Below are 19,139 nucleotides of genomic sequence, written 5' to 3' on the forward strand. Positions count from 1 at the left end.
GATAGTGACACAAAAAACCCTTCAAAAAATCAATGAACCTGGGAGCTGGTTTTTTGAAAAGATTAAGAAAAGAGACCAGTAGCCTGACTAATAAAGAATAAAAGAGAGATGAATCAAATAGACACAATAAAAAATGATAAAGGGGAGATCACCACTTATCCCATAGAAATACAGACTACATCAGAGAATACTAGAAACACCTCTATGCAAGTAAACTAGAAAATCTAGAAGAAATGAATAAATTCCTGGACACATACACCCTCCCAAGACTAAACCAGGAAGAAGTCAAATCCCTGAATAGGCCAATAACAAGTTCTGTAATTGAGGCAGTAATTAATCGCTTACCAACCAAAAAAAGTTCAGGACCACATGGATTCACAGCCAAATTCTACCAGAGCTAAAAGGAGAAGCTGCTACCATTCCTTCTGAAACTATTCTAAACAATAGTAAAAGAAGGGATCCTCCCTAACTCATTTTATGAGGCCAGCATCATCCTGATACCAAAATCTGGCAGAGACACAACCAAAAAGGAGAATTTTAGGCCAATATCCCTGATGAACATCGATGCGAAAATCCTCAATAAAATACTGGCAAACTGAATTCAGCAGCACATCAAAATCTTATTCGCCATGATCAAGTCGGCTTAATCTCTGGGATTCAAGGCTGGTTCAACATACACAAATCAATAAATGTTATCCATCACACAAACAGAACCAATGACAAAAACCACATGATTATCTCAATAGATGCAGAAAAGCCCTTTGATAACATTCAACACCCCTTGATGTAAAAAACTCTCGATAAGCTAGATATTGATGGAACATATCTCAAAATAATAAGAGCTATATATGAAAAACCCACAGCCAATGTTTCACTGAATGGCCCAAAGCTGGCAGCATTCCCTTTGAAAACTAGCACAAGACAGGGATGCCCTCTCTCACCATTCCTATTCAACATAGTATTGGAATTTCTGGCCAGGGCAATCAGGCAAGAGAAAGAAATAAAGGGTATTCAAATAGGAAGACAGGAAGTCAAATTGTCTCTGTTTGCAAATGGCATAATTGTGTATTTAGATAATCCTATCATCTCAGCCCAAAATCTCCTCAAGCTGATAAGCAACTTCAGCAAAGTCTCAGGATACAAAATCAATGTGTAAAAATCACCAGCTCCTTTTTATACATCTGATAACATTTGGCTATTAATCCATCTCATGCTGGGCTTTTTTTATTGGTCAGCATTTTATTACTGAATGAATTTTGAAAGTCAATATTGGTCTTTGTTCAGGGATTCAATTTTTTACTGGTTCAATTTTGGGAGGTTGTATGATTCTAGAAACTTATCCATTTCTTCTAGGTTCTCTAGCTCATGTGCATATAGGTTTTTGTAGTATTCTCTGAGGGCTGTTTATATTTCTATAGGGCTGGTGGTAACGTCCCCTTTGTCATTTCTGATTGTGTTTACTTGAATCTTCTCTCCTTTTTTTCCTTTTTTAGTCGTCAGAAGTCTATCTTATTTATTCTTTCAAATAATAGATTTTTGAACTGTTTATCTTTTGTATCTTTTTTGTGACTCAATTTTCTTCAATTCAGCTCTGATTTTGGTTATTTATTTTCATCTGCTATCTTTGGAATTGGTTTGCTCTTGTTTCTCTAGTTCCTGTAGTTGTGATGTTAGGTTGTTAATTTGAGATCTTTCTGATGTTTTGATGTGGGCATTTAGCACCATAAACTTCCCTCGTAACACTACTTCAGCTTTGTCCCAGATACTGGTATGTTGTTTCTTTATTCTCATTAGTTTCTAATAATTTATTGATTTCTGCCATAATTTCATTGTTTACCCAAAGGTCATTCAGAAGCAGGTTGTTTAATTTCCATGTAATTGTATGGTTTTGAGTGATTTCCTTAGTATTCCTGTTTTTATTGTGCTGTAGTCTGAGAGTGTAGTTGTTAATAATGGCTTTGCTAATTATTAGCACTAACAGAGCTAACCACAGTTGGTGGTGGGAATGAATCCATCAACAGCGTATAAAAATAGTTTTTTCTCTACATCTTTGCCAGCATTTGTTACTTTTTGTCTTTTTGATAATGGTCATTTTAACTTAGATGAGATTATATCTCATTTAGTTTTGATTTGCATTTCCCTTATGATTAGTGATGTTGAACATTTTTTCATATACTTTTTGGCCATTTTTTTTGTCTCTTTTGAGAAATTCTTTGCCTATTTTTACATAGGATTATTTTGTTGTTGTTGTTGAGTTGTTAGAGTTGCTTATAGATTTTGGATATTAATTCTTGTCATATGTATAGTTTTTTTTCCCATTCTATGAGTTGTCTATTCTATAGATTGTTGACTTTGTTGTGCAGAAGCTTTTTATTTGTAATAATTCAATTTGTCTATTTTTGTTTTTTTCTGTGCTTTTGAAGTCTTATTCATGAAATCTTTGCCCAGACCAATATCCTAAAGAATTTCCCATACGTTTTCTTCTAGTAGTTATATAGTTTCAGTTATTACATCTAAATCTTTAATAAATTTTGATTTGATTTTTGTATATGGTGAGATGGAGAGGTTTAGTTTGATTTTTCCACATGTGGATATCCAGTTTTCCCAGCACCATTTATTAAAGATGCTGTTCTTTTCCCAATGTATATTCTTGTTGCCTTTGTCAAAAATCAGTTTTACTGTAAATACATGGATTTATTTCTGTGTTCTCTCTTCTTTTCCATTGTTTGTGTGTCTGTTTTTATGCCAATACCATGCTCCTTTTGTTGATATAGTTTTGTAGTATATTTTGAAGTCCCAGGTAGAATGATGCTTCCAGATTTGTTCTTTTGCTCAGGATTGCTTTAGTTATATGTGGTCTTTTAGGCTTGTTTTGTCTATTTCTGTGAAAAATGTCATTGGCATTTTGACAGAAATTATACTGAATCTGCAGGTCACTTTGAGTAGTGTGATAATTTTAACAATATTATTAAGTCAGTACAATTACTTTTGCATTAACCTAATAGTTCTTTGAAGTTATAAATGTGGGATGTCTTTTTATTTTTTTTGTCCTCTTCAGTTTCTCATCAGTATTTCATACTTTTATTGCAGAGATCTGTCCCTTGTATGATTAAATTTATTCCTAGCTATTTTGTTGTTGTTATAGCTATTATAAATGAGACTTCTTTCTTGATTTCTTTTTCAGCTAGTTTGTTATTGATATATATAATAGAAATGCTACTGATTTTTGTATGTTGATTTTTGTATCCTACAACTTTACTAAATTTGTTTATTAGTTCTAAGAGTTTTCTTATAGTCTTTAGGGGTTTTTTTAATATGTAAGTTTATGTCAACTCCAAAGAGAAACAATTTTACTTTCTTTTTCCAATTTGAATGCACTTTGTTTCCTTCCTTCATTCCTTCCTTCCTTCCTTCCTGTCTTTGTCTTTTCACCTAATTGGTCTATCTAGGATTTCCAATACTGTATTGAATAAGAATAGTAGAAATTGCCATCTTTATCTTGTTCCAGTTGTTAGAGGGAAATCTTTCAGTTTTTCTTTGTTTAGTATGTTGTTAGTTCAGGTTTTGTCATACATGGCCTTTATTGTATTGAAATATGTTTCTTCTATACTTAATATTTGAGAGTTTTTAATATGAAGAGATAGTAAATTTTCTAAAATTCTTTGTCTGTTTCCATTGAGGTAATACAATTATTTTTGTTATCCATTCTGTAAAACTATCACATTTATTGATTTGCATATGTTGAACTATCCTTACATCCTGGGATAAATTACACTTGATTACTGTGTATAATCTTTTTGATGTACTGTTTGATGCCATTTGCTAGTATTTTGTTGAGAATTTTTGCATCTGTGTTCATCAGGAATTTGCCCTATAGTTTTCTTTTTCTGTTTGTTCTTGTCCGGTTTTGGTATCATGGTAATAGTGGTCTTGTGGAAAGAGTTAGGAAGACTTCTGTCCCCTTCACTTCTTGGAAATAGTTTGAGAAGAACTGCTGTTAGTTCTTTAAAAGTTTGTTATAACTTAGCACTGAAGTCATCCAGTACTGATATTTTCTTTGTTGGGAGAGTCTTTATCACTGATTCAATATTGTTATTTGGTATTTGTCATTTCAGGTTTTCTATTTATTACTGGTTTAATCTTGGTAGGTTATATGTGCATGTAAATTTATTCACTTTCTCTAGGATTTTCAATTTGTTGTCATTTAGTTGCTCATAATAGTCTGTAATTATCCTTTGTATAACTGCTGTATCAGTTATAGTGTCTCTTTAATGGTTTCTGATTTTGCTTATTTGGATCTTCTTTCTTTTTATTTTTAAAAATTTTTTGAGATGGAGTCTTGCTCTGTTGCCCAGGCTGGAGTGCAGTAGTGGGATCTCAGCTCACTGCAACCTCCACCTCCTGGGTTCAAGTGATTCTTCTGCCTCAGCAGGATTCACCCACCTCAGCTTCCCAAAGAGCTGGGATTACAGGCATGATCCACCATGCCCAGCTCTTCTTTCTGTTTTCTAAGTTAGCATAGCAAATAATTTGTCAATTTTGTTTATCTTTTTAAAAAACAGGTTTTTATTTTGTTCATCTTTTGTAAACTTTTTTGTCTCAATTTTATAGTTCTGCTCTTCATTATTTCTTTCCTTCTACTAGGTTTGCATATGTTCTTCCTTTCCTAGTTCCCTGAGGTTTTTTGATGTAAGCATTTATTAACTTCCCTTTTAATGCTGCTTTTTTTTTGTATTCCATGGATTTTAGTATGTTTTGTTTTCATTTTCATTTGTCTCAATTTTTAAACCAATTTTCTTCTCAATTTCTTCCTTGAGCCCATTGATCATTCAGGAGCATGTTGTTTAACTACCATGTATTTGTGTAGTTTCCAAAGTTCCTCTTGTTATTGATTTATAGTTATATTTGTGTGTGGCTTGAACAGATGCTTGATAAGATTTTGATTTTTAAAATTTGTTAAGACTTGTTTTGTGGCCTAACATACAATTTATCCTGGAAGCTGTTCCATATGCTGATGAGAAGAATGTATCTTTTGCAGTTGTTGAATAAAATGTTCTGTATATATCTGTTAGATCTATTTGGTCTCTACTTCAGTTTGTGTCCAATTTTTTTGTCCATGTTTTGTCTAGATGATCTGTCCAATGATGACAGTAGAGTGTCTAAGTCCCCAACTATTATTGTACTAGAATCTATATCTCCCTCGACTGCTAATAATATTTGCTTTGTATATCTTTGTACTTCAGTGTTGGGTGTATTTAAAATCGTTATATCCTCCTGCTGAATTTATTATTTTGTGATTACATAATGATATTCTCTGTCTCCTTTTTATGTTTCTTTGACCTAAACTCTATTTTATCTGATGTAAGTATGGCTACTTCTGCCCAATTTTGGTTTCCATTTGAATGGAATATATTTTCCATCTCTTCACTTTCAGTCTTTCTGTGCCTTTACGGGTGAAGGAGTTCCATATAGGAGGCATATAGTTGGAACATGTGTTTGCTTTTACCTTTTTAGCCAGTCTGTATATTTTAATTGGGGAATTTAAACCATTTACATTCAAAGTTGATATTGGGAAGTGTGGACTTCTGCCATTTTGTCAATTATTTTCTGGTTGTTTTTTGTATCCTTTATTTTTTCTTTCTATTTAATACTTTATGTTTGCATTCTGGTGGTTTGCTGTAGTAATAACTTTTGATATCTTCTCTTTCTCATTTGTATATCTTCTCTACCAGTGAGTTTTATATTTTCATGTATTTTATATTGGTAGATTTTTTTTTTTGCTTCCAAATGTAGAGCTCCATTAAGTATTTTGTGTAGAACTGATCTAGTTGTGATGAGTTCCCTCCGTTTTTGCTTGTCTAGGAAATACTTTATTTCTCCTTCATTTCTGAAAGATAGCTTTGCTGGTTATAGTCTTCTTGCCTGGCAGGGTTTTATTTACGTTTAGCACTTTGAATATATTTTCTTCTTCTCTCCTAGTCTTTAAGGATTCTGCTGAGAAATATGCTGTTAGTCTAATGTGGTTGCCCTTAGATGTGACCTGCCACTTTTCTCTTGCTGTTTTTAGAATTTTCTGTCTTTGACTTTTAACAACTTAACTATAATGTGCCTTCAAGAGGCTTTTTTTTTTTTTGTATTGAATGTATTTGGACATCCTTGGAGTTTTATAGATTTCATAGATTATAGATTTCCATATCTCTCTGAAAACTTAAAATGTTTTCAGCTATTATCTCATTAAATAGGTTTTCTATACCTTTTCCCATCTCTTCCTCATCTGAAACTCTCACAATACAAATATTTTTTCATTTAATGGTATCCTATATATCCCATAGGCATCCTTCATTCTTTTTATTTTTATTCTTCTTTTTTTGTTTCCAACTGGGTTATTTCAAAAGATCTGTCTTCAATTTCAAATGTTTTTTTTTATTCTAGAGCTAGTGTATTGTTGAAACTTTCAAAAGGTCTGTCTTCGATCTCAAATTTTTTTTTATTCTAGAGCTAGTCTATTGTTGAAACTTTCAATTGTGTTTTGAATCTCTCTCATTAAAGCCCTTATATCTAATATATCTGTTTGGTTCTTTCTCATGATGTTTATCTCTTTCTTTTAATTTCTCATTAAGAGTGTACATTCCTTTTCTAATATTGTCGAATTTCCTATCTGTGTTATTTTCTATCTTGCTGAGTTTCCCTAAGTGCACTATTTTAAATTCATTTTCAGGCATTTCAAATATTTTCATTCTTTGGGTAATTGTTACAGACTATTGTGTTTCTTCAAATGTGTCATGTTTCCTTGCTTGTTCATATTTCTCATGCTCCTTCATTGGTATCTGTGCATCTGGTAGAAGAGTCTCTTCTTCTAATTTTATGCAGTAGATTTCTTGGGGAAGATTTTTTTCATTTTTTTTGTTGTTGTTGTTGTTCTGTAATGTGTTCTATAGTGTTGGTTGGGTAGAGTGCTTTAGTTTTGGCCTTGGGTGAACATAGTAGTGTACACTTCATATAATTTCTTTGACTGCAATGCACATCAATGGTGTGTGCAAGTACCTCAATAGCCTAGGCTGTGGTTGTTTTGGAAGCTGTGGAAAAGCCTTGCTGGAAGCAGAGATGCTAGCTGGGCCAAACCCAATAGCTTTGCCACCTGCTATGCTCCCACATTTGCTTCTGGGGGATGGGGTTGCCAGCAGAGGCAGCAGACCCTGGGCAGGAAGCTATTAGGTTCTGGTGTGCACACATATTTAACCCCTATGACCTAGGCATAGCCTCTCCTTTGTTCTAGACTGCTTTTTTCCTGAATTTCAGGGTGCTGTATGGAATCGGGTGCTGGAGTCATGGCTGCATTGCTGGGTGTGGCTATTGTAATGCTGCAGCTCATGGATTAATGTAATGGATTGTTGGGAGGGCTTCAGGAATGTGGAGTTGCAGGGGCTACTTGATTCCAGGGCAGGATGCACTCTGATGGTGACTCCTCTCTGAAAATGCTAATGTACTGTGGCTTCTGGAGTCATGGGGGTGGAAGAGACACAGACTGAATTCTTTCTCTGAATTAATGCAGTCATGTGGACTCCAGGAACATTCCTATACTGGACTCAAGGCCAGCTAGGACTATGATATTCTCCTGTAGCTAGGATTGCAGGTGCCTGTGATGGACATGTGGTCTTCCAGGGACTTCTGCTTAACTTTTCCTTACTGTGCGGAGTCCCTCTTGTTTCAAAGTTGATGTGGGCTATGTGCATTGCTTCCCTCTCTAAACTGCCATTCCAAGTCTTCGTGACTCAGATGGTACTCATCACTTCTTTGCTGAATTCCAGTATAACCCCTAGACACTCTGTTAAATATGTTGTTATTTATTTGTTCTTTTGGTCTTTTTGTATGGAGCACATGAGTAAAGGCTGGGTACATTTACTCAGCCATATGATGATGTTTTCAATCTTTAATATATGTTCCTTTTAATGGATGAAACCATCGGAAGTAAAATTGAAACTTTTTACTTTTTCTATAATCAGGCAAAATATGCAGGCATTGAAACGTCTTAGGCTGGCTGTAATTCCTCTGCTTACCACTGCCTCTGCTTTAAGACCTCTGGGGCCTGCAGCAAATGTAATCTCCACCAGCTGGAATCTTTCTTTTACAGCCTCAGGCCACAGCTGGAGAAAAGGCAGTTCTTGGATCAAAAGTTCTTGGATGGACTAAAATTATAGTCAATGCCTGATTTAGAGTGCAGTGTAAGTCCATTGTTTCCTTATTGATGATTTGTTCATTGCTGAAATTTGAGTGTTCCCTTTTATTATTGTATAGCAATCCATGAACCATTAATATTTTCTTTATATATTTAGGTGCTCTAATGTTTGGTGCATATATATTTAAAATGTTATGTCCTCTAATTGAATTGACTCACTTATCATTCTATAATAAGTTTTTGGTATTTTTTAACAGTTTTTGACTGAAAATAAATTTAAATCTTATGTAGGTGTAGCTACTCCTGCTCTTTTTCAGTTTCCATTTGCCCAAAGTATATTTTTCTATCCCTTCACTTTCAGTCTATTTGTGTCTTTATAGGTGAAGTGTGTTTCTTATAGACAGTAGATAGTTAGGGCTTGTTTATTTTATATCCATTCAACCACTCTGTATTTTCATTGGAGAGTTTAGTCTATTTACATTCAATGTTACTATGGATGAGTAAGAATTTACTACTGCCATTTTGTCACTTGTTTTCTGATTGTTTTGTAGACCTCTCATCCTTTCTTCCTTCATTTCTTCCTTCCTTCCTCTCTTTCTTTTTATGAAAATGACTTTCTCTAGTATGTTTTAATTTCTTGCTTTTTATTTTTTGTATGTCTGTTGTAGGTTTCTGGATTTGAGGTTACCATGAGATAGCAAATGACATTTTATAACTCATTATTTTAAACTGATGACAACTTAATATTATTTACAAAAATGAACAAACTAGCTAACAAGCAAAAAGAAAACTAATAAAAACTCCAGACTTTATTCCCTCTGCTTTTTAGGTTTTTGTTTCTAATTATATCTTCTTATACTGTCTATGACTTGAAAAGCTGTTGTAGTTATGATATTTGATAGTTTAACTTTTAGTCTTTCTGCTCAAGATATAAGTAGTTTACATACCACAGTTATAGTTATTAGAATATTCTGTATTTTTCTGTATATTTAGTATTTCCAGTGAGTTTTCTGCCTTCACATGATGTCTTGTTGGTCAGTAATGTCCTTTTATTTCAGATTAAAGAACTTTAACATTTTTTGTAGGACAGATCTTTGATGACATTCCTCAGCTTTTGTCTGTCTAGAAGTCTTTGCTTCTCTTTCATGTTTGAAGGATATTTTCACTGGATATACTATTCTAGGATAAAAGTTTCTTTATCCTTCAGAAGTTTATATATATCCTGCCACTCTCTTCTGGTCTGTAAGATTTCCACTGAGTAGTCTGTTCTGGGATGTATTGGACCTCTTTTGTGTGTTAGTTTTCATTGCGGCTTTTAGGATCCTTTCTTTATCCTTGACCTTTGAGGATATGCATATGAAATGTCTTGAGGTAGTCTTACTTAAGTCTGCTTGGTGTTACCTCACCTTCTTGTACTTGAACATGATATCATTCTCTAGGTTTGGGAAGTTCTCTGTTGTTATCACTCAGAATAAACTTTCCACCCAATCTCTTTCTTCTTACCTCCTCTTTAAAATCCGTAACTCTTAGATTTGCCCTTTTGAGGCTATTTTCTAAATCTTGTAGGCATGCTTCATTCTCTTTTTTTCTGTATCCCCTAACTGTGTATTTTCAAATAGCCTGTCTTCAAGTTCACTAATTCTTTCTTCTGCTTAATTTCAATTCTGCTGTTGAGAGACTCTGATACATTCTTTGGTATGTCCATTGAATTTTCCAGCTCCAGAATTTCTGTTTGATTTGTAAAAATTATTTCAATCTCTTTGTTAAATTTATCTGATACAATTCTGAGTTCTTTCTCTTTGTTATCTTAAATTTCTTTGAGTTTCCTCAAAATAGCACTTCTGAATTTTCTGTCTGAAAGTTTACTTATCTGTTTTTTCCAGGATTGGTCACCGTTGCCTTAATTATTTTGTTTGTTGAGGCCATGTTTTCCTGGATGGCCTTGATGCTTGTAGTTGTCTGTCAATGTCTAGGTATCAAATAGTTAGGTATTTATTCCAATCTTCACAGTCTGGTCTTGTTTGTAACTGCCCTTGGTGAGAAGGTTTTCCAAGTATTCGAAGGGAATGGAATGTTGTGATCTAAGTCTTTGGTCACTGCAGCCATATCTGCATTAAGGGGCACCCTGAGCCCAGTAATGCTGTGATTCTTGTAGACTTGTAGAATCACTGCCTTGGTGGTCTTGGGTAAGATCCAGGATAATTCCCTGGATTCCCAGGCAGAATGTCTTGTTCACTTATCTTACTTTTTCTCAAACAGAATCTTTCTCTCTGTCCTTATTGTTCTGGAGTTGGGGAAGGAGTGCCACAGCTACCCCTATCATCACTACCACTGTGACTTTGCTGGGTCAGACCTGAAGCCAGGACAGTACTGGGTCTCACTGAAGGCCTGTGGTACCTGGCTACCACTGATGTTTATTCAAGGTCCAAGGGCTCTTTAATCAACGGATTGCGAATCCAGCCAGGTTTGTCTCATTCCCTTGATAGTAGTGGATTCTCTTCTGGCCAAGGGTGGGTCTAGAAATGCTGTTAGAGAGCTAGGACCTCAAGTTGGGAACTTTAGGAATCTATTTAGTGGTTTGTTTTACTGTGGGTGAGCTGGTACCCAAGTTGAAAAACGAAGTCCACTTTATCTTTCTCTCCCCTTTCCTCATGTGGAAGGAGTCTCTCCCTGTGGCCATCACTGTTTCAGGCCCATAATGAGTACTGCCTGGCTATCACTGTTGTTTATTCAAGGCCCAAGTGCTCTCTAATTAGGTTGTGGTGAATCCTGCCAGGTTTGGGTCTCTCCATTCAGAGCAGCAGGTTCCCTTCTGGCCTGGGGTGGGCAGAGTGCATCTAGAAAAGACATTCAGGTGTTAAGTCCTGGAATTGGGGACTTTAGGAGTCTGCTTGGTGCTTTATCTTAATGTGGCTGAGCTGGTGCTCAAGTTGCAAGACAAAGTTCTTTTCATTCTTCCCTCTCCTTTCCTTAAGCAGAAGGTGTCTCTCTCCAGGGCTACCACAGCTGGAAATGTGGTGGGTCAGTTGAAGCCAACATGCTACTGGGTCTCACTCAAGGCCCATTGCAAGTACTGTCTGGCTACTGCTGATGTTTATTTAAGGTCCAAGGGCTCATTTGTCAGCAGGTCATAAATACTGTCAGGACTGGGTCCTTCCTTTCAAGGAGATGGTTTCCCTTCTGGCTCAGGTTGTGTCTAGAAATGTCATTTAGGATCTAGGGTCTAAAACAGAGAATTCAGGATTCTGCTTGGTGCTTTATTTTAATTGTGGCTGAGCTGGTATCCAAGTTGCAAGACAAAAATCCTCTTTATTCTTCTCTTCCCTTTTCTCAAGTGGAAAGAGTACCTCCCAGTGCTGTAAGCTCTGCTGCCTAGAGTTGGGAGAGCGGTAACACAAGCATTTCCTTGGCCACCCCAGCTGGTGTCTCACTAGGTAATGTGCATTCCAAGTCCACTGGATCTGAGCCCAGCACAGCACAAGGACTTGCCCAGGAATTGAAGTCACTGTGGCCTAGACTGCCTTCCAAATTTTATTTATTTACTTATTTATTTTTATTTTTATTATTATACTTTAAGTTTTAGGGTACATGTGCACAATGTGCAGGTTTTTTACATATGTATACATGTGCCATGTTGGTGTGCTGCACCCATTAACTCATCATTTAACATTAGGTATATCTCCTAATGCTATCCCTCCCCCCTCCCCCCACCCCACAACAGGCCCCGGTGTGTGATGTTCCCCTTCCTGTGTCCATGTGTTCTCATTGTTCAATTCCCACCTAGGAGTGAGAACATGCGGTGTTTGGTTTTTTGTCCTTGCAATAGTTTGCTGAGAAAGATGGTTTCCAGCTTCATCCATGTCCCTACAAAGAACATGAACTCATCCTTTTTTATGTCTGCATAGTATTCCATGGTGTATATGTGCCCCATTTCCTTAATCCAGTCTATCATTGTTGGACATTTGGGTTGGTTCCAAGGTTTTGCTATTGTGAATAGTGCCTCAATAAACATACGTGTGCATGTGTCTTTATAGCAGCATGATTTATAATCCTTTGGGTATATACCCAGTAATGGGATGGCTGGGTCAAATGGTATTTCTAGTTCTAGATCCCTGAGGAATCGCCACACTGACTTCCACAATGGTTGAACTAGTTTACAGTCCCACCAACAGTGTAAAAGTGTTCCTATTTCTCCACATCCTCTCCAGCACTGGTTGTTTCCTGACTTTTTAATCATCTCCATTCTAACTGGTGTGAGATGGTATCTCATTGTGGTTTTGATTTGCATTTCTCTGATGGCCAGTGATGATGAGCATTTCTTCATGTGTTTTTTGGCTGCATAAATGTCTTCTTTTGAGAAGTGTCTATTCATATCCTTCGCCCACTTTTTGATGGGGTTGTTTTTTTCTTGTAAATGTGTTTGAGTTCATTGTAGATTCTGGATATTAGCCCTTTGTCAGATGAGTAGGTTGCAAAAATTTTCTCACATTCTGTAGGTTGCCTGTTCACTCTGATGGTGGTTTCTTTTGCTGTGCAGAAGCTCCTTAGTTTAATTCGATCCCATTTGTCAATTTTGGCTTTTGTTGCCATTGCTTTTGGTGTTTTAGACATGAAGTCCTTGCCCATGCCTATGTCCTGAATGGTATTGCCTAGGTTTTCTTCTAGGGTTTTTATGGTTTTAGGTCTAACATGTAAGTCTTTAATCCATCTTGAATTAATTTTTGTATAAGGTGTAAGGAAGGGATCCAGTTTCAGCTTTCGACATATGGCTGGCCAGTTTTCCCAGCACCATTTATTAAATAGGGAATCCTTTCCCCATTTCTTCTTTTTGTCAGGTTTCTCAAAGATCAGATAGTTGTAGATATGCAGCATTATTTCTGAGGGCTCTGTTCTGTTCCATTGGTCTCTATCTCTGTTTAGGTAACAGTACCATGCTGTTTTGGTTACTGTAGCCTTGTAGTATAGTTTGAAGTCAGGTAGCGTGATGCCTCCAGCTTTGTTCTTTTGGCTTAGGATTGACTTGGCGATGCGGGCTCTTTTTTGGTTCCATATAAACTTTAAAGTAGTTTTTTCCAATTCTGTGAAGAAAGTCATTGGTAGCTTGATGGGGATGGTGTTGAATCTATAAATTACCTTCGGCATCTTAGTGCACTTTAGCCCACGGTGGTGGGGCTAGCCAGAGCTCAGTTTCTGACCGAAGGGTTAGATGATTCCGCTCTGGTTAGGGCTTGTCTAAATGCTCCCTCTGTGGGCTTTGGCTGAATTCTGCCCTGTGTTGCTTTCCACTGTGACAGGGAAACACTTGAATTTCAGTGCAAAGTCTCACAATTACTACACTCCAATTCCTCCAAGCATACAGATTCTATCCCTGTGCCTCACAGCTTTTGCTAGGTAATACGGGATAAGTGGTATCAGCAATTCAAGACTATCTTTTCTACCCTCTTCAATGCCTCTTTCCTTGATATGATGCTAAAACCAAGTACTGTGAATACTCACCTGAGTTTTAGTTCTTAGAAAGCTGCTTTCTTGTGTGGATGGTTGTTCAGTTTGGTGCTCCTGCATGGAGGGTCATCACTGGAGTGTTCTATTTGACCATCTTGTTCTGCCTCCTCTCCTTTATGTTTTTTTTTTTATTAGAGAATTCAATTCATTTATATTCAAGGTAATTATTGATAGGTAAAACTTACCGTTGTAGGCAGCAAGCTTCATTAAAACACTTATTTTGAATTCTTTGCTAGACAGTTTATACAACTTCACTTCTTTTGGATTGGTCACTGGGGACTTTATTTTGTCCCTGTTTTCAGCATTCCAGAATACAGGTACTATAAAAAATAGAAGTCAAATAAATGGAAATGAATATAGTGTGTTTGTGGTTTAGATATAGATTTGTTAACTGACTAATGGAGCATAGGTAACTTTTTTTTGTATCTAAACCACTTCTCACTAGAAAAGAAGTGAGGACAATAATAGAGCAACACAAAAGAAACCTATACAGAAGCAGTGGAAAATGATGTTGGCGAGCTGTGGTGGAGAGGATAGTGAACAGAAATGAATTACTGAATAACTTGGTGTTTGATTGCAAAAATGTTGACTACATTAAATCTCATTGAAGTCTTTGTTACTAGGAGAAATTTTTGAACTCTTTTTACTTTGACACATGACAAAGAAAGAGACAAAACCTACAGTCAGGAGAGTAGTGCTCATAGTTAAGCTCCTTATTTGCCATGCAGCCTGGGGCATATTATGGCACCAAGTAGCAATTTCTCCTCTTTATAATGGGCAAGATACTAATTTCTACCTTCTGAGTGTGGACTTCAATCATAGCACAATGCCTGGTGTATATTATGGGTCTAAATATATTTAATGAATATATAAATAAATTTATGTTTAAAAGTATGTAAATAAAATAATTTATATACAGCTCTTCCAAGACATGCTGTCTCATAGATAAAGCATTTAAGAAATATTAATTGATGTTACCTAATGTTGTTATGATATATGTATGTATATGTATGTCAAAATGACAGACACATTATGTTAACTATATGTAACTATATTATATATATGTAACTACATTTTATATATAGCCATTATGAAGACTACTGCATTGCATATGTATTTATGTATATTGTGTGTTTATTCATACTTTTTTTTAAAGGAAGATTCGGAAGGGACAGATAAGATGACAGATTAGCATTCTCCAGCAATCATCTCCCCGCAGAAACATCAATATAAACATCTATCTATGCAGGAAAATGCCTTCGCAAGAGCTGAGGAAAGCAATTCAAAGATCATAGTACCTGGTTGTCACACACAATAAGAAAAGACACATTGAAGAGGACAGAAAGGACAATTTTACATTTAGCCTCCCCCAGTCCTCAGCAGCATAGCCTGGAGAGAGATACTGTTCACTTGGAAGAAAGAGAAGTAAGCACAGGGCTTTGCTTTGGACTCCAACATCAGGCCCATTGCAGTAAAACCAGCGCTGGGCAGCCCCCCGTGGCTGCAGATTTCAGGCTGGTACTCAAAGGCTGAGACTCCAGAGACTGCCTGGTACCAGGCAAGACCCCACAGCCCTAGTCTTCAAGCCTGCAAGGCCAACTTGATTTAGACTACATGTGACCCACAATACCTTAAATATTTACTACCTGGCCTTTTACAGAAAAAGTTTTGCCAGCCCCTAATCTAGATCAAAGATGACAAGTCTATGGCTTATTTGCTGATAGTTTATCCTGCTCTGCCAATGGCAGACGTCTTTAATGTTTTACCGAATTCTCCTCCATCTGCTTCAGAATCTCTACCAGCATAGTAGTCCTAAAAGTTATTGCCAACCTAGTGGATTTTTCATTTTAGCCTGCAAGTCCTCATACTCAGAAGAATTTTGTGACAGTCTCTTAGTGTTTCCAATCCTATTTTTCTAACCTTTTAGTGTATTCTAGCTGACTTCCACTGCCAGTATCTCTACGTCTTTTGCCCAAGGGCTTTTTCCAAAGTCATTGAAGGTGGCTCTCCTCCTACTCACAGCCGTCCAGAAATGCCAAGGAATTAACACCTCTGGGAGCAGTGTCAGGAGTTGGTGTATAAATACCCCAGCTCTCTTCCATTTTGGGTAGGATAATTATGAGACATTTTTAACAAAATCTCCCAGAGTTTCCCCATGAGGTTAAGCTCAATTTGCTCATTATGATATCTGGCCTAATGAGGCACCTTTATTGGCTACTTTCCATTCCCTCTGTCACTATTCTCCTCACTGCAAGTGTTCCCTGACTCTCCAAAATAAACTACTTGCATCTGAATCCTTGTCTCAGAGTGTGCTGCTGGGGAAATCCAAACCAAGACAGATTTCAAACCTACTTCTCTATGGAAGTAATGCTTTTACAAAGGCCTCTAATTTAAAGCATCATGAACTTCACTTACAAGTCCTCAAAATTGCTGCCTGCAGTTACTCATTTTGAGGACAGCCCAATTTTTTGTGGTCTGATGTATCTATTGTTGACTCTGACATTACAGATGGGTCAACCAATTAATTTTCTGATGGTATACAGAGTGCTTTTCAGTCTTCTTCTCCAGGCTCCTATTAGTGAAGAAACTTCCTAGGTGCCCTTACAATGGAAAATTCACAACCAATAAACACTTGAATCTTAAGATTTACATTGGCCAGGCAGGTCATTATACCAAAGTCTAATAATAACTCAATTTTTCCTTATACCCTGGCACAAAATGCAGGCAGCTGTGTCCAATTATGCTGAGCACAGCAAACTCAAACTTATTAAAGGTAAGAAGCAGGCTGTTTCAGGATGTGAAAAACTCAACATAAGGTGAAGCTAATTTCTCAAGTGTACGGTTTACTTGCTGTTTTTGTTTCATTTTATTTCTCAAGCCAATATTGTTTTTAGTTCTCAATGTAGGGAAGGAAACATGGTCCTCATTAATACACAAAAGTCACAGTCCAAATATATATGCTCCATTCCTGGGTCAACCAGCAACTCTACTGACTAACCCACAGCAAATCACTTGTTTCATTTACTGACTAGGAAAATGCATTTAACAGTGCCTTCTAGTAAAAGAAAAAAAAAAGGTTTATATAAGGCTTTAAGATCTGAAACCAAGATACAGAAAAAAGCAAGATGATGAAGCATTTTAATTAATTGTCACATGGGTCCACCTGAAATATTGGAACACTGTGTTTTATGAAGTGATATTTGCGAAACAGAAAAAAAAATTATTTTGTTATGATCTGCAAAAAAAAAAAAAAGTATTTCTTCCAGCAACTTTTTCTCCTTTGACCACCTCTGGCTTCCCCAGAGTAGTTGATTCCATCAGCAACTTGTTCTATCACCAAATTATTCTGATGATGTTTTCTAAGCATTTAAGCAGAGTTTTCCATGCTGCAACACAGACCTGGCATAACTTGTTTCTTTCCTCTAATGGAAATAATTGATCCCTCTGCTAGCTTTCTCTAATGAGGGCAAGCCAGGGATTCGTCTCTTTTCTCACTCTTTCACTAATTGAATTTGATTTTTCCTGTACCATAAGATACTTTACAGCTGTGTCCAAAACAATGCACACAGTAGTTTTTCATGCTGTCAAGATGAATTTTTATTTTTCTAAACAACTTTCATATCCCCTGTCTAAATTAAGTCCTCTGTCATAATGATCCCCAACACTTTTGGCACCAGGAACTGGTTTTGTGGAAGACAATTTTTCCACAGATGGAGGGGTGTGGGGGGGGTGAGGGGTAGGGGAGGTACAAAGAGGGGATGGTAGGCCAGAGGAGGAGTTTCAGGATGAAACTGTTCCACCTCAGATCATCAGGCTTTAGATTCTCATAAGGAGTGTGCAACCTAGATCTGTTGCATGCACAGTTCACAATAGGGTTCTGGCTTCTGTGATAATCTAATGCCACCACTAATATGACAGGAGGCAGAGTTCAGGTGGTAATGCTCGCTTGCCCACAACTCGCTTCCAGATGTGCAGCCCAGTTCCTAGACAGGACACTGATGAAAACTGGTGAGTGGCCCTGGGGGGTTGGGGCCCCTGCATCTATCATGCTTACTCATGTTATACTGTGCTTTTCATTCATTGACTTTAGAGCCGTTTGTAATTATTTATTCATTTTGTTGGTTATGCAACTAATGTTTCTTTACCACCGGTAGTCTATATGCCTCCAGAGGACAGGAATCCTATTTGTCCATTCCTATATTCTCAGTGTTTTTCCTAACACATAGTATTGTTGAATGCTACTAATTACATATTATTTACACTTAACATACTTATATATCACATTTATTAATATATAATCATTATTCAACAATGCTATGTTCCAAAAATATACTTAGCCCTGAAGATATGTATATATATGTAAAATATGTATACATGCATATACTATATACTGCCTGCATATATACTATAGATACATTATGTATACATGTATGTGTACAAATATGTTTATTTATTTATATGACCCAAAAATATAGAGTTACTTTTCTTTTGAAATACTGAATTTTTATAAGTTTTGATCAAAGGAAATGAGAAACTTGTTGAAGTCTGTTGTCCAAGTTATGTTTATTTTTAACTTTCTAAGAAGATACTAAGTTTGTTTTTTATTGTTTCAGACTGAGAATGTACAATGCACTGGCTACATTTATATTAGTTGCCATGGTTTCAAATACTTCAGAAATTGTCCAAGAAAGGAGTGGAATTTTTCTCACCATGCAAAGATGTTTTTCCCTAACTTGTTTGTGCCCACGTAATGTACCAGTTTGAATCGTCTGCTTTTCTCCTCCCCATCTGTGCTGTTTTCAAGGGGCGGAGAGGAAAAGAAAAGAAAAAAGCAGGTAGAAGAGAGTTAGACATAGTTTCATTCCAGCATCTATTAGCTCACAATTTCATACTCTTGGTTGTAAACTGAAGGCCTCTTACATAGTATAGACAGCATCTATAATATGTTTTGCTTTTCTCAAATAATTCCTACATGACCATATAACAGTTTTTGTAGAAAAGGCAGGGCAAAGACTACTAATTCTCAAGAGGCTGAACTGTCAGAAGAGATTTTATGCTAACAGTTTTATTCCTGCTGTTGCTGCTGTTGTTTTTAATTATTCTTTTATGACCAGTTGGAAGGATCTACTTTTGTAGAGATGACTGCCTTTGCTTCTGCTTAATTACTCATCTGTATTATTATCTCAATTCTCCTAAAAAGGAAAATACGTCTTGTCTAGAGAAAGTGTTATTTACTCACAGTTTTATGGCTTCTTTTCCACTGCAGTATTATTGCATTCCCACTTTCTCTTAGTAATGGTTATTATTTATTAAATACTTATTATGTGCTTGAAACTGTGTTTAATATGATAGAGTCAATATTTACTTAACCCTCGCAATAACCCTGTAGCATAGATGCTATAATTATTCCCGTTTTAAAGATGAGAAAACTGAGTCAGAATCCAATGTGTGGATCTAAAAC

The 19,139-nt window shown here is 36.4% G+C and overlaps 2 annotated features.

Moving 5' to 3' along the window:
• Positions 10,497–10,998: an enhancer, noted in NCBI's record as "H3K27ac hESC enhancer chr5:143949549-143950050 (GRCh37/hg19 assembly coordinates)". NCBI's record gives its function as "activates a minimal SCP1, AML or CMV promoter by ChIP-STARR-seq in primed H9 embryonic stem cells {active_cell/tissue: H9 hESC(primed)}" and the evidence as "EXISTENCE:reporter gene assay evidence [ECO:0000049][PMID:30033119]".
• Positions 10,999–11,498: an enhancer, noted in NCBI's record as "H3K27ac hESC enhancer chr5:143950051-143950550 (GRCh37/hg19 assembly coordinates)". NCBI's record gives its function as "activates a minimal SCP1, AML or CMV promoter by ChIP-STARR-seq in primed H9 embryonic stem cells {active_cell/tissue: H9 hESC(primed)}" and the evidence as "EXISTENCE:reporter gene assay evidence [ECO:0000049][PMID:30033119]".

The sequence above is a fragment of the Homo sapiens genome, chromosome 5 (genome assembly GCF_000001405.40).
Source record: "Homo sapiens chromosome 5, GRCh38.p14 Primary Assembly".
Classification (NCBI taxonomy): domain Eukaryota; kingdom Metazoa; phylum Chordata; class Mammalia; order Primates; family Hominidae; genus Homo; species Homo sapiens.